This window comes from Homo sapiens, chromosome 9 (assembly GCF_000001405.40).
Source record: "Homo sapiens chromosome 9, GRCh38.p14 Primary Assembly".
NCBI classification, from domain to species: domain Eukaryota; kingdom Metazoa; phylum Chordata; class Mammalia; order Primates; family Hominidae; genus Homo; species Homo sapiens.
In genome coordinates this window covers 14863642-14878825 of record NC_000009.12, presented here as the reverse complement: position 1 = coordinate 14878825, position 15184 = coordinate 14863642, and the positions used below count along the sequence as shown (strand labels likewise).

Below are 15184 nucleotides of genomic sequence, written 5' to 3'. Positions count from 1 at the left end.
AACTATAATCAGTATAAGGGAATTTAAGGCATTGTTTTCTCCAATTTATTCACTTAGTTAACAAATATTTATTGATATATCAGGCATTGTTCTAGACACTAGGGTTAAATCCATGAGTAAAAAATATAGAAATTAACATCTTCGTGAGGGACATGGCAGTGACTAATATTAGGTTGGTACAAAAGTAATTGTGGTTTTTTGCCATTGAAAGTAATGGTGAAAACCACAATTACTGTTGCAACAACCTAATATAAAGGATCAAATGCATTATATTAGGTGGTTAGAAAGCACTAAGGTTAAAAACTAAGCAGGAAAGTGGTAAAGAATGCTAGGAGATGAGACTGACATAATTCTAATGGGGTTGTTAGGTGTGACCACACTGCAAGTGTGACATTTGATGGGAACTTGAGAGTAGAGAGGTGGAGGGAGGGATATCTGGGGGAAGAACGTTCAAGTCAGAGACAACAGAAGTGAGAGGCTTTAGTGGGGGAGAGAGGAGGGAGGAATGGATCTTGATTTGTTTGAGGAAAAGCAAAGATATTAGAGTGGCTGGGACAGGGTCAGCAAAGGGAAGACAAACAGGAGATGAGCTGAGAGAGAGAAGAGGGAAACAGATCACATACTGTCTTCTAGATCATCACCAGGGCTTCACCTTTATTCTAAGATGAGACACTACTGGAAGTTTTGAGCAGAGCAGTGACATGGTATAAGTAACATTTAATCAAAATACTGACTGTGATGCCGAGAAATGCCTAGAGGAAAGGCAGGAGTAGAAGTAGGGAGATCAAATAGGATGCTATTGCAATCATCCAGCAGAGACTTGGTGGTGGCTTGGACCGGGGGATCACAATGGAGGTAGTAAGAAGTAGCTGGATTCTGGATATGTTTTGAAGGAAGAGTGTATTAACTTTTTATTTTTGTGTAACAAATCACTATAAACTTTGTGGCTTAAAACAATACAAATTTATCTCACAATTTCCCTTGGTCTGGGGTCAGATTATGGCTTAGCTGGGTTCTCTGCTTTAGGTTGCCACCAGGCTGCAGTCAAGATGTTGACGGCCTTCATTCTTATCCAGGGGCTTGACTTAGGAAGAAGCCACTTCCAAGCTCATTCAGGGTGTTGGCAGGATTCATTTCCTTGTGACAGTAGAATCCATGGAGGCTTGCTTCTTCATGTTCAGCAGGAGAGCCCCTGGTTCCAGTCTGCCGAGAGAGTCTCCTGTATAACAAAATGTAATCATAGGAGTGACACCCATCACCTTTGTTCAATTCTGTTGGTTGGAAGTGTTACAGATTCTGCTGGCACTCAAGGGGAAGGAACTTTTGGATACTAGGAGACTGGAATTATTTGGGGGGTCACCTAAGATCTGTCTACCATAAAGAAACAACAAGATTTTTTGTCTAGATTTAGAATGTGTGATGAAGAAAGGAACAACTGAAAAGTTGGAGTTGCTGTTAATTAAGGTAAGGAAGACTGAGGGAGGGAAGATTGAGAGCTCAATTTTGGCTTCATAAAGTGTGAGATGTCTTTTATACACCACCCAGAGATGATAAGCAGACAGTTGCATGTGCAAATCTAGAGTTAAGCAAGAGGGTCCAGGCTAGAGGTGTAAGTTTGAGGTCCATTAGCACATAGGTGGTATTTAAGGCCAAGGAATGAGATCACTAAGGAATGAGTGTAGATACAAAACAGGTCCTACAACTGGACTCTAGGGTCCCAGCATTAAAGAGTCAGGGAGTCTAGAAAGAACCAGGTAAGGAGACAAAGTGGGATAGAGTGAGATAAGAGGACTGCAGGAGTGTGGAGTCCTTGCAGCCTCCATGTGTTAATTAGTTTAAATCTCAGAAAGCAAAGATTCCCCCTTACCTCCCAGTTTTGGGAGACATCTACCTATCTTCTTGCCTCTCCTCTCCCTGAATGTGCTGTTGCGTTAGATGCCAAATGTGAATGGAAAAAATATTGTATCTTGTCAAAGTTCAACAACCATATTAAAGGGGAGGCAGCCAAGATGGCTGAATAGGAACAGCTCCAGTCTATAGCTCCTAGCGTGAGCGATGCAGAAGACGGGTGATTTCTGTATTTCCATCTGAGGTACCGGGTTCATCTCACTAGGGAGTGCCAGACAGTGGGCGCAGGACAGTGGGTGCAGCGCACTGTGCTTGAGCCGAAGCAGGGTGAGGCATTGCCTCACTTGGGAAGCGCAAGGGATCAGGGAGTTCCCTTTCCTAGTCAAAGAAAGGGGTGACAGACGGCACCTGGAAGATTGGGTCACTCCCACCCTCATACTGTGCTTTTCCGACGGGCTTAAAACATGGCGCACCAGGAGATTATATCCTGCACCTGGCTCAGAGGGTCCTACGCCCACGGAGTCTCACTGATTGCTAGCACAGCAGTCTAAGATCAAACTGCAAGGCGGCAGCGAGGCTGGGGGAGGGGCGCCCGCCATTGCCCAGGCTTGCTTAGGTAAACAAAGCAGCCAGGAAGCTCGAACTGCGTGGAGCCCACCACAGCTCAAGGAGACCTGCCTGCCTCTGTAGGCTCCACCTCTGGGGGCAGGGCACAGAAAAACAAAAAGACAGCAGTAACCTCTGCAGACTTAAATGTCCCTGTCTGACAGCTTTGAAGAGAGCAGTGGTTCTCCCAGCACGCAGCTGGAGATCTGAGAATGGGCAGACTGCCTCCTCAAGTGGGTCCCTGACCCCTGACCCCCGAGCAGCCTAACTGGGAGGCACCCCCCAGTAGGGGCAGACTGACACCTCACACGGCCGGGTACTCCTCTGAGACAAAACTTCCAGAGGAACGATCAGACAGCAGCATTTGCGGTTCACGAAAATCCGCTGTTCTGCAGCCACTGCTGTGGATACCCAGGCAAACAGGGTCTAGAGTGGACCTCTAGCAAACTCCAGCAGACCTGCAGCTGAGGGTCCTGTCTGTTAGAAGGAAAACTAACAAACAGAAAGGACATCCACACCAAAAACCCATCTGTAAATCACCATCATCAAAGACCAAAAGTAGATAAAACCACAAAGATGGGGAAAAAACAGAGCAGAAAAACTGGAAACTCTAAAAAGCAGAGCGCCTCTCCTCCTCCAAAGGAATGCAGTTCCTCACCAGCAACGGAACAAAGCTGGATGGAGAATGACTTTGACGAGTTGAGAGAAGAAGGCTTCAGACGATCAAACTACTTAGAGCTACAGGAGGAAATTCAAACCAAAGGCAAAGAAGTTAAAAACTTTAAAAAAAATTTAGACGAATGTGTAACTAGAATAACCAATACAGAGAAGTGCTTAAAGGCACTGATGGAGCTGAAAGCCAAGGCTCGAGAACTACGTGAAGAATGCAGAAGCCTCAGGAGCCGATGCGATCAACTGGAAGAAAGGGTATCAGTGATGGAGGATGAAATGAATGAAATGAAGTGAGAAGGGAAGTTTAGAGAAAAAAGAATAAAAGGAAATGAACAAAGCCTCCAAGAAATATGGGACTATGTGAAAAGACCAAATCTACGTCTGATTGGTGTACCTGAAAGTGATGAGTGATGGGGAGAATGGAACCAAGTTGGAAAACACTCTGCAAGATATTATCCAGGAAAACTTCCCCAATCTAGCAAGGCAGGCCAACATTCAGATTCAGGAAATAAAGAGAACACCACAAAGATACTCCTCGAGAAGAGCAACTCCAAGACACGTAATTGTCAGATTCACCAAAGTTGACATGAAGGAAAAAATGTTAAGGGCAGCCAGAGAGAAAGGTCGGGTTATCCACAAAGGGAAGCCCATCAGACTAACAGCGGATCTCTCGGCAGAAACTCTACAAGCCAGAAGAGAGTGGGGGCCAATATTCAAGATTCTTAAAGAAAAGAATTTTCAACCCAGAATTTCATATCCAGCCAAACTAAGCATCATAAGTGAAGGAGAAATAAAACACTTTACAGACAAGCAAATGCTGAGAGATTTTGTCACCACCAGGCCTGCCCTAAAAGAGCTCCTGAAGGAAGCACTAAATATGGAAAGGAACAACCGGTACCAGCCACTGCAAAATCATGCCAAATTGTGAAGATCATCAAGACTAGGAAGAAACTGCATCAACTAATGAGCAAAATAACCAGCTAAAATCATAATGACAGGATCAAATTCACATATAACAATATTAAGTTTAAATGTCAATGGACTAAATGCTCCAATTAAAAGACACAGACTGGCAAATTGGATAAAGAGTCAAGAACCATCAGTGTGCTGTATTCAGGAAACCCATCTCATGTGCAGAGACACACATAGGCTCAAAATAAAAGGATGGAGGAAGATCTACCAAGCAAATGGAAAACAAAAAAAGGCAGGGGTTGCAATCCTAGTCTCTGATAAAACAGACTTTAAACCAACAAAGATCAAAAGAGACAAAGAAGGCCATTACATAATGGTAAAGGGATCAATTCAACAAGAAGAGCTAACTATCCTAAATATATATGCACCCAATACAGGAGCACCCAGATTCATAAAGCAAGTCCTGAGTGACCTACAAAGAGACTTAGACTCCCACACAATAATAATGGGAGACTTTAACACCCCACTGTCAACATTAGACAGATCAACGAGACAAAAGTTAACAAGGGTACCCAGGAATTGAACTCACCTCTGCACCAAGCAGACCTAATAGGCATCTGCAGAACCCTCCACCCCAAATCAACAGAATATACATTTTTTTCAGCACCACACCACACCTATTCCAAAATTGACCACATAGTTGGAAGTAAAGCTCTTCTCAGCAAATGTAAAAGAACAGAGATGATAACAAACTGTCCCTCAGACCACAGTGCAATGAAACTAGAACTCAGGATTAAGAAACTCACTCAAAACCACTCAACTACATGGAAACTGAACAACCTGCTCCTGAATGACTACTGGGTACATAACGAAATGAAGGCAGAAATAAAGATGTTCTTTGAAACCAACGAGAACAAAGACAAAACATACCAGAATCTCTGGGACACATTCAAAACAGTGTGTACAGGGAAATTTATAGCACTAAATGCCCACAAGAGAAAGCAGGAAAGATCCAAAATTGACACCCTAACATCACAATTTAAAGAACTAGAAAAGCAAGAGCAAACAAATTCAAAAGCTAGCAGAAGGCAAGAAATAACTAAAATCAGAGCAGAACTGAAGGAAATAGAGACACAAAAAACCCTTCAAAAAATTAATGAATCCAGGATCTGGTTTTTTTGAAAGGATCAACAAAATTGATAGACCCCTAGCAAGACTAATGAAGAAAAGAGAGAAGAATCAAATATATGCAATAAAAAATGATATTGTGGATATCACCACCGATCCCACAGAAATACAAACTACCATCAGAGAATACTGCAAACACCTCTACACAAATAAACTAGAAAATATCGAAGAAATGGATAAATTCCTCGACACATACACCCTCCGAAGACTAAACCAGGAAGAAGTTGAATCTCTGAATAGACCAATAACAGGCTCTGAAATTGTGGCAATAATCAATAGCTTACCAACCAAAAAGAGTCCAGGACCTGATGGATTCACAGCCGAATTCTACCAGAGGTACAAGGAGGAGCTGGTACCATTCCTTCTGAAACTATTCCAATCAATAGAAAAAGAGGGAATCCTCCCTAACTCATTTTATGAGGCCAGCATCATCCTGATACCAAAGCCTGGCAGAGACACAACCAAAAAAGAGAATTTTAGACCAATATCCTTGATGAACATTGATACAAAAATCCTCAATAAGATACTGGCAAACCGAATCCAGCAGCACATCAAAAAGCTTATCCACCATGATCAAGTGGGCTTCATCCCTGGGATGCAAGGCTGGTTCAATATACGCAAATCAATAAATGTAATCCAGCATATAAACAGAACCAAAGACAAAAACCACATGATTATCTCAATAGATGCAGAAAAGGCCTTTGACAAAATTCAACAGCCCTTCATGCTAAAAACTCTCAATAAATTAGGTATTGATGGGACATATCTCAAAATAATAAAAGCTATCTATGACAAACCCACAGCCAATATCATACTGAATGGGCAAAAACTGGAAGCATTCCCTTTGAAAACTGGCACAGGACAGGGATGCCCTCTCTCACCACTCCTATTCAACATAGTGTTGGAAGTTCTGGCCAGGGCAATTAGGCAGGAGAAGGAAATAAAGGGTATTCAATTAGGAAAAGAGGAAGTCAAATTGTCCCTGTTTGCAGATGACATGATTGTATATCTAGAAAACCCCATTGTCTCAGTCCAAAATCTCCTTAAGCTGATAAGCAACTTCAGCAAAGTCTCAGGATACAAAATCAATATACAAAAATCACAAGCATTCTTATACACCAATAAAAGACAAACAGAAAGCCAAGTCATGAGTGAAGTCCCATTCACAGTTGCTTCAAAGAGGATAAAATGCCTAGGCATCCAACTTACAAGGGACCTGAAGGACCTCTTCAAGGAGAACTACAAACCACTGCTCAATGAAATAAAAGAGGATACAAAGAAATGGAAGAACATTCCATGCTCATGGGTAGGAAGAATCAATATCGTGAAAATGGCCATACTGCCCAAGGTAATTTATAGATTCAATGCCATACCCATCAAGCTACCAATGATTTTCTTCACAGAATTGGAAAAAACTACTTTAAAGTTCATATGGAACCAAAAAAGAGCCCGCATTGCCAAGTCAATCCTAAGCCAAAAGAACAAAGCTGGAGACATCACGCTACCTGACTTCAAACTATACAACAAGGCTACAGTAACCAAAACAGCATGGTACTGGTACCAAAACAGAGATATAGATCAATGGAACAGCACAGAGCCCTCAGAAATAATGCCGCATGTCTACAAAGATCTATCTGATCTTTGACAAACCTGACAAAAACAAGCAATGGGGAAAGGATTCCCTATTTAATGAATGGTGCTGAGAAAACTGGCTAGCCATATGTACAAAGCTGAAACTGGATCCCGTCCTTACACCTCATACAAAAATTAATTCAAGATGGATTAAAGACTTAAATGTTAGACCTAAAACCGTAAAAACCGTAAAAACCGTAGAAGAAAACCTAGGTATTACCATTCAGGACATAGGCATGGGCAAGGACTTCATGTCTAAAACACCAAAAGCAATGGAAACAAAAGACAAAATTGACAAATGGGATCTAATTAAACTAAAGAGCTTCTGCACAGCAAAAGAAACTACCATCAGAGTGAACAGGCAACCTATACAATGGGAGAAAATTTTCGCAACCTACTCATTTGACAAAGGCTAATATCCAGAATCTACAATGAACTCAAACAAATTTACAAGAAAAAAACAAACAACCCCATCAAAAAGTGGGCGAAGGATATGAACAGACACTTCTCAAAAGAAGACATTTATGCAGCCAAATAACACATGAAAAAATGCTCACCATCACTGGCCATCGGAGAAATGCAAATCAAAACCACAATGAGATACCATCTCACACCAGTTAGAATGGCAATCACTAAAAAGTCAGGAAACAACAGGTGCTGGAGAGGATGTGGAGAAATAGGAAAACTTTTACACTGTTGGTAGGACTGTAAACTAGTTCAACCATTGTGGAAGTCAGTGTGGTGATTCTTCAGGGATCTAGAACTAGAAATACCATTTGACCCAGCCATCCCATTACTGGGTATATACCCAAAGAACTATAAATCATGCTGCTATAAAGACACATGCACACGTATGTTTATTGCAGCTCCATTCACAATAGCAAAGACTTGGAACCAACCCAAATGTCCAGCCATGATAGACTGGATTAAGAAAATGTGGCACATATACACCATGGAATACTATGCAGCCATAAAAAATGATGAGTTCATGTCCTTTGTAGGGACATGGATGAAATTGGAAATCATCATTCTCAGTAAACTATCGCAGGAACAAAAAACCAAACACCGCATATTCTCACTCATAGGTGGGAATTGAACAATGAGAACACATGGACACAGGAAGGGGAACATCACACTCTGGGGACTGTTGTGGGGTCGGGGGAGGGGGGAGGGATAGCATTAGGAGATATACCTAATGCTAAGTGACGAGTTAATGGGTGCAGCACACCAGCATGGCACATGTCTACATATGTAACTAACCTGCACATTGTGCACATGTACCCTAAAACTTAAAGTATAATAATAATAAAATGAATTAAAATAAAAAAAAGAAACCATATTAAATTGATAGCCTTTCTAAGGGTATTTTTTCTATTGATAAAAGGATACACTGATTATGTAACAGGAATATTACCAAGTGTGTGACATTTACATTTTGCAGAGCATAATAAAAGGCATTTTAAATTTAAGAAAAAAAACAAAGACAACAGCAACAAAAAACAAAACAACCAGATGTGCATTCTTGCCCAAATAAGCCAACCTAAGTCAGCTTGATTGTGGACAATAGAGTCAGTTGGAGTGTGAGAACAGTTTTACTCTGGGACTGATACCATAAAAAACAGGCTGCTCTGTAAAGTGTACACCCCTCAGGTATCAGGTGACACAAGTCAGGCACTGCCTCAAAAGTGAAAGGTTGCAAACAGTGACAAGGGAATGGAAATAGATTAGATGTGGATAATGGAGGCATTTGTTCTTCTACAACCTTCTGACAAACATTCATTTTGGTATCTACTGGTTATGCACAGAAATTTATTGAAATTATTAACATGGAAGGCCTTTCTTTGGGCATAACAAACCACTATTTGTTCACCTAATTATACTGGGAATTTAGGGATATATTTCAGTGCATTTTACTTTAGATAAAATCTTTTCATTTCTTATGGAACACAGAGAAATCATCATGAAATTCTAAGTGGATAAAGTGGAAACAAAGACTCTATTTGTGCAAGTTGAGTACATGGGAATGTAATTAGCATTGTAGATAGTATAAATACGCATGTCCATATGCTGTGTCATTAGCTGTGCGTGCTGAAGCTATGTCACCTCATTCGTAGTCCCTTTCACACATAAACAGAAACTTGAATGTTCACTTAGAAAAAAGCATATTTTCTGTAATTACCACTCAAATGTTTCTTAGGTGTCTTCATTGCCCAGCAAAGTCAGAAGTGTGCCCAGTGTGATAAATCATTAAACTTCTTTCTTATCCAAGTAGCACTGATTTAGAATGAATCATGTTTTCAAACAATGTGTTAATAATCCTATCAGCTCTCTGAAAAAAATTAGATTATAATCCTCATTTAACAAATGAGGAAAGGGAAGCAAAGAGTTTGACAACTGTCTATGAACTCAGTGAACAAAAGCCACACTTGTTGGCAATAAGGCTGGCTGTTTCCTCCTGGACCACACAGTTGACATCCCGGTTGGGATATGTCAAGTCCGGAAGCGGTATGTCAAGTCCGGAAGCAGGAGCTATAAGCAGGGTAATGAAATGGCTGCTTTGCCTTTCAGATGGGTCTAGAGGTCAAGTTAGTTTATTTGTTTTTAATTTAGCTGAACTCATAGGCTGGTTGAAAGATCCCTTTGTTGGTAGCGATCTTTTGAATAGCCACATAAACCTTTTGGTCTCTCTCTCGCTTTACTCCAACCCCTTCTCCCATTTGCAGGATTAGAAAAGCACTTGGGAAGCCCATTAATCTTGCCGGCGTTGTCAGGAGTGATCAGCGAGTTTTATTAAAAGCCCTGGGATTGCCTGAAAGGCCCCCTTGTCTGACTTTGAAATGAAAGGGGCATGTTAAGATCTCGGGGCACATTGTCAGGACCCCTCACCCTGCCCCTTGGACTATGAGCTGACCCTCCAGGAGGAAGCACAGAAGCCCTCCTTTGTTAAAGGGATTTCGCCGGTGGACAGAGAAGAGTTGGGCCCTGTCAGCATGAACTCTCTGAGTTGGGGGGCTGCGAATGCCGTGCTGCTGCTGCTCCTCCTGGCCTGGGCCAGCCCCACCTTCATCAGCATCAACCGCGGGGTGAGGGTGATGAAGGGCCACTCTGCCTTCCTGTCAGGAGATGACCTGAAGTTTGCCATCCCTAAAGAGAAAGATGCCTGCAAAGTGGAAGTTGTGATGAATGAGCCAATAACCCAGAGGGTTGGGAAACTCACTCCACAGGTAGGTCCTATCTGCGATTTTCTGTTCAGTCGTGTGTATGAATGCAAGTGTATGAAAATGTGTGGGGGGACAGAGAACAGATGTAAAATGTCTCCCCTCAAGCCATCAAAGACGAGTATTAGAAGATGTTCACATTTGAAATGGTGGACTTGCAATTAGTAGGCATAGTATTGCGCTGCTTTTCTATGTGAGGTGAAACCTATTTTTAAACATTCTTGGCTGACTTCAGATTACAAGCCTGAAACCAGCAGGATTTAATCCTGATTATAATAACATTTATAGAGGAAATCAGGTTCAAACTAATATGGATGCATGTAATTTTTTTCTTAATAATGCACTGTTTCAGTAAGTCTTTCCAATTTCTCCTCTTTCCTGAAGATAACTCTGGTATATCTCACCAGCTGCTTGACCTTATAGAGTAGCTAATTATACAGGAAAAAGCGCAAAGCATCATGTAAGAGAATTACATTGGAGTTATTCCTGCCCCGAGTTATCACATCCATTGCCAGTCAGAGTGGCTTTGGATAAGAGATCAAGATTTCAAGACATTTTTAGGACATACCTGTGACCTTAGCATAGCAAAGGTAAAACTTGAAGATGTTTCATCTATTAACATCACTTAAACATTTTTTCTGAGTAAGGGAAAAGAAGTAGAAAAGAGATGTGAAGATACTTCACTTTAAATATTCACTGTTCTTTGAAATTATCTGCTTAATTTTTTTCCTTTTAATCAAAATCTTGGAGACCTTTATATTTAAGGGTATTCTATTGTCAATCTTCTTGTAGAGTGAAGAGTTACCTCCTAATTCATTGGGTTTAAAAAGTCTATATTCTCTAACACTGTTTTTGCTTAAAGTAGGAGTTACCACTATACATAATTTTAAAAAATTGCTTCTGATTTTATTACTTGTTCCCACTGTCCTGTAACTTTGCTCCCAGTGCAAACAATCTTGAGAATATTCAACACTAGATGCTGCTGCTGCTTCTGGAAAAATGGACCATTCTCTTTTGCTGAACTATGAACTTTATTTCCTTTTCATTTGGCTAAAGAAAACTAATCCACGAGGTTATTGAAAAGTGGTACTAGGTATTACAGAGAGAGAAAAAAAGACTTAGATGGATACTAGCTCAACTGGTGTCTCTAGACACTCCATTTACCACACTTCAAGTTATAGACCCATTCTGAAACACATCAGAATTCTTTGGAAGAGGGTCTCACTTTGCAGGTATTTCTGATGTGGTAGTAACCAAATGTCTCTGCCTAGTTGCTTGTAAGATTTTATCGTCAGTCAAAGAGCTTTAGATGGGTATCTAAAACATGTTAGAATTCAACAATGGCTCCACATATTAGCCATTGTATTCCCAAGTGTTTGGTAGTTGCAGTGTCTCCTCAGTTACTCCCAATTATACTTGCATTCTGAATGTGTTTTGATTGGCACTTACGAGTCAGGGAAAAAGAAGATACCTGGGATTGCTCATACTAGAACCCCAATGTGCTACATAGGATGAGGAAGCAATACAAATAAGCTCAGGAGTGGGTGATAGAGACCCAACTACAGGGACTGGGGTCGAAAGGAAAATGCAGGCTGGTTGCAGTAGCTTACGCCTGTAATTCCAGTACTTTGGGTGGCTGAGGCGGGTGGATCACTTGAGTCCAGGAGTTAGAGACCAGCCTGGTCAACATGGTGAAACTCCATCTCTACTAAAAATACAAAAATTAGCCAGGCGTAGTGGCACATACCTGTAAGCCTAGCTACTCGGGAGGCTGAGACACAAGAATCGCTTGAACCCGGGAGGCGGAAGTTGCAGTGAGCCAAGATAGTGCCACTACACTCCAGCCTGGGTGATAGTGTGAGACTCTGTCTGAAAAAAAAAAGAAAGGAAAATGCAGCCTGTAGAGTTTTGAGAGAGGGTAAAATAGGACACCTGATCCTAGAGGACTGGGGTGTTTGATAAAGCAGGAACCCAGGGCTGTACTGGCACATATGGGTGTCTTATAAAGACTGGTGATTGATAATATGGTACCTCTTCCAATCAATATATTTTTAAAAATCATTCAACATTTATTTAGAAGTGGGCCTGAGTATATTGTGAAAAAGAGAAGAAGGAAAATTCCCACTGGTAGCTCGCAGGAGCAAGCTGTCTAAGCTGTCTTCCAGTTTGGACCTCAAGCATGCATGCCCAACTGAGCAAAACAAAAGCCCTGCAGATGACCAGATTCTCCTTAGTAGGCAATTTGGAGATAATCTATTGTTACCTAAGCCAGCCTCTGAGAGCTCTCCTCTCCCTACCTCAAATGGCCTATGACTCCTTACCGTATATGGCAGTCTCTCTGAGAGAAATAAAATTGTCCCCATTATATATCTTTAGTGATGTTTTAATGGTCCTGATTGCTTGGCCTGCTCCAAGGCACTGAGGAGCAAAAAGGGATCCAAGTGACTAGAACTAGGTAAAAAACATTTGTTCACAAGAATCAAGGATTGGAATAGGCCTGCAAGTCATCTCCATCTCACACTCTCTGATTTTAAGGTAAAACTCCAGTTACTAGAAAGACAGTATAGAGGAGAAACCACAAATTGCCTTGGTTGCTGAGAAACACCTCTGAATATACTGATTCCCTAGCCTGCTATTGCTCATTAAGAAAAAGTAGAATCAAGTCATGAATACTTAGTGTATGTATTTCCAGAGGCAAATATGACATCTCAAATGGATTTATAGCCTCTAAAGTCGGTATGGGATTTATATCTTCTAATATTTATTCTGTGGTAAAGGAGTTCATTAAAATATGGAGTTTCAGTACTTTTTTTGGCCAAATATTAAAACTGTGTGTGAGAGAAATCTATATCATGGGAGAACTTTGTTTCTCAAACTGCCAGGTGATTGTTCCTATTTGTTATTCTCATAATTTCAACAAAAACAAGATTCCTAAGTCTGTTTTGTTTTGTTGAATTTGTGCTTGGTTTTTAACGCAGGCTGGTTCAGTCCTTCCCTAGGGGTTCGTTCCTTATGGAGTTTTAGAAATTAAGCATAGCTAAGTGCATGTGCACACACACACACACACACACACACACACACACACACAGCCTAAACATTATTCTTTAATAGAGCTTAGTAATAAGCTGAAAGCCAAGCTTATGTGAACCCATTTCTAGCAAGACGACTGTATTAACAACACCCTGCTGTGTAATGAACAGTTTCATGTGACTTGCACAGAAAATGTTTTGTTTAACATCTGTTCAATTAGTGTTTTCATTTCATTACTGAAGTTTGTCTTAGGATCAACAGGTTCATTTTCCTGTTGAATATTTGGAAAGGGATTTCAGTTGATGCACACCAGTGCCTTCTGTTCAGATAACCCTCTTGATATAGTCAATTAGATGAGGTTGATGGCAATATGTTTTCCTCATGTTTTAGGACAAGACTCCCTCACACATGGCACTTCTCACACCTAGCCCAAAGCAAGAAATTTGCTGGGTGGAAAGCACCCCAGGTTAGCACTAAACTTGCTTTTTTGAATAGGAAATATAGCGGTAAGAAAGTATCTCTACTTTGAACCATTTTACTGTCATTAAAGTGAGTAATGAGCTAGGAATGTGTGACAATTTAATTATAAATTGTAATTGAAAAGCAGTTGAAGTGGAAAAAAACAAAGCTAGACAGTAATTAGAAAAGGATTTAGCTCTCCTTTGTTTTAGTTAGTAAATTTATGGACAATTATGGTTGTCGCCTTTTATAAAAGGAAAACATATTATGAAACATAAAACAGATGTTTCTTTTAACAAAGCAGACTGTCTCTTTATTACCATGACTATTTGTCAATGATATGGGGAAGGTCTTTGCTTTATCTCCTTCCTAGTTGTCAATTTAAAAGAGGAATCAATGATATCTGCGGGAAAAGAAAATCGTTTGTATTAGTGGTAAAGTCTTCTCTGAGTGAATTATGTTGTCTGAAAATGTTTGAGGCTGTGAAAAGGTACAGACGAAACACCACGAACACAATGGTGGACATGCGTGCATACCTCAAGGGTATTAGAACTCTACCAGAGTCAGATTGGGCAGAATGAAGGGCATGATATGGGTGGGAGAGATGATTCTTCCTCTAAAAATCAGGTTCCCAAAATATAACAGTTAACAATCTCCTAATAATTCTGAGTGAGTTGAGACAGTTCATTATAATTTTATTTGAATAGAGGAAATTGCTTTTAGATTTCTGTTTTTCTCATCTGCCATTTCTGCTATTGCCTAACTAATGAAAGCAGTTTTTTGCAAGTATGCAAGACACAACTCTGGGTCATGTTAGGCTCTGATTAACCACAGTAGTGTCCATAGTCAGTGGCTTCATCTTTGAATATGAGAATACTATTCGGAAAAAAAAAGAAATGAAAGGAGAACACAGATATACAGAAAGAATACAGTGTGTTTGTGGGTGGGTTAAAGCATGCCTTTTCATGCAGACACACAGAAAGAACTCTCTAACTCAATTGCTGTGAACCCCTGAAAGGGGTAAATAAAATTTCGAAAAATGAAAGTATGTTTTAAATGCACTCTAGGTGGTAAAAAGACACTTATTTAGAGACGTAATCATCCCTTAACTAATTTTCTTGAACTGCTTTGGTTTTCACAACTTAGATATTCTCAAAACAAGAGACAGCTGTATAAGTAGGATGGTGACTGGGTATGGGGGTAGGGTAGAGGTGGTGGTGGTGAAGACACACACACTCACACACATACACACATTACTAACAGAGCATATTTTCTCCAGGCAGTGCTCTCCTGGCAAAATGTTAAATCTTGTACCAATTTTCTCATAGATATTTATCCAATTCTTCATGTGAACTAGGTCTTTGACTGCCATTTCCTTCCCAACGAAGTCAAGTATGTTCACAATGGTTGTCCAATTCTTGATGAAGACACAGTGAAGCTCAGACTTTACAGGTAAGCGGCACGGGAACATCGCTCATTTGCTGCCAAGTAACCATTCTGTGTTCTTATGAGGGCTTTTCTTGTGGATATGTATTGTCATGAGGGGAGTTAATAGATTCCAGACAAGAAAGTAATCAACAGAAACTGGAGGCCTGAGTGGATCAGGCAAGATTTGTAGC

At 40.6% G+C, this 15184-nt stretch overlaps 1 protein-coding gene across 35 annotated transcripts in view; it reads left to right on the top strand.

Annotated features, from left to right (window-relative positions):
- FREM1 (FRAS1 related extracellular matrix 1) overlaps positions 1 to 15184 on the top strand; it is a 173844-nt gene that overhangs the window by 32170 nt on the left and 126490 nt on the right. For 32 of the 35 annotated variants that reach the window (NR_163238.2, NR_163239.2, NM_144966.7 and 29 more), the window contains 2 exons: positions 9582 to 10082; positions 14923 to 15017. Coding sequence is in view for 30 of the 35 variants with exons in the window: in NM_144966.7 (NP_659403.4) it covers positions 9849 to 10082; positions 14923 to 15017 (329 nt within the window). In the remaining 5 variants the exon portion in view is untranslated. Of the gene's footprint in view, positions 1 to 9581; positions 10083 to 14893; positions 15018 to 15184 lie in introns of those variants that run through there. The other 3 variants (NR_163240.1, NR_163241.1, XM_017014326.2) reach the window with 2 other exon arrangements.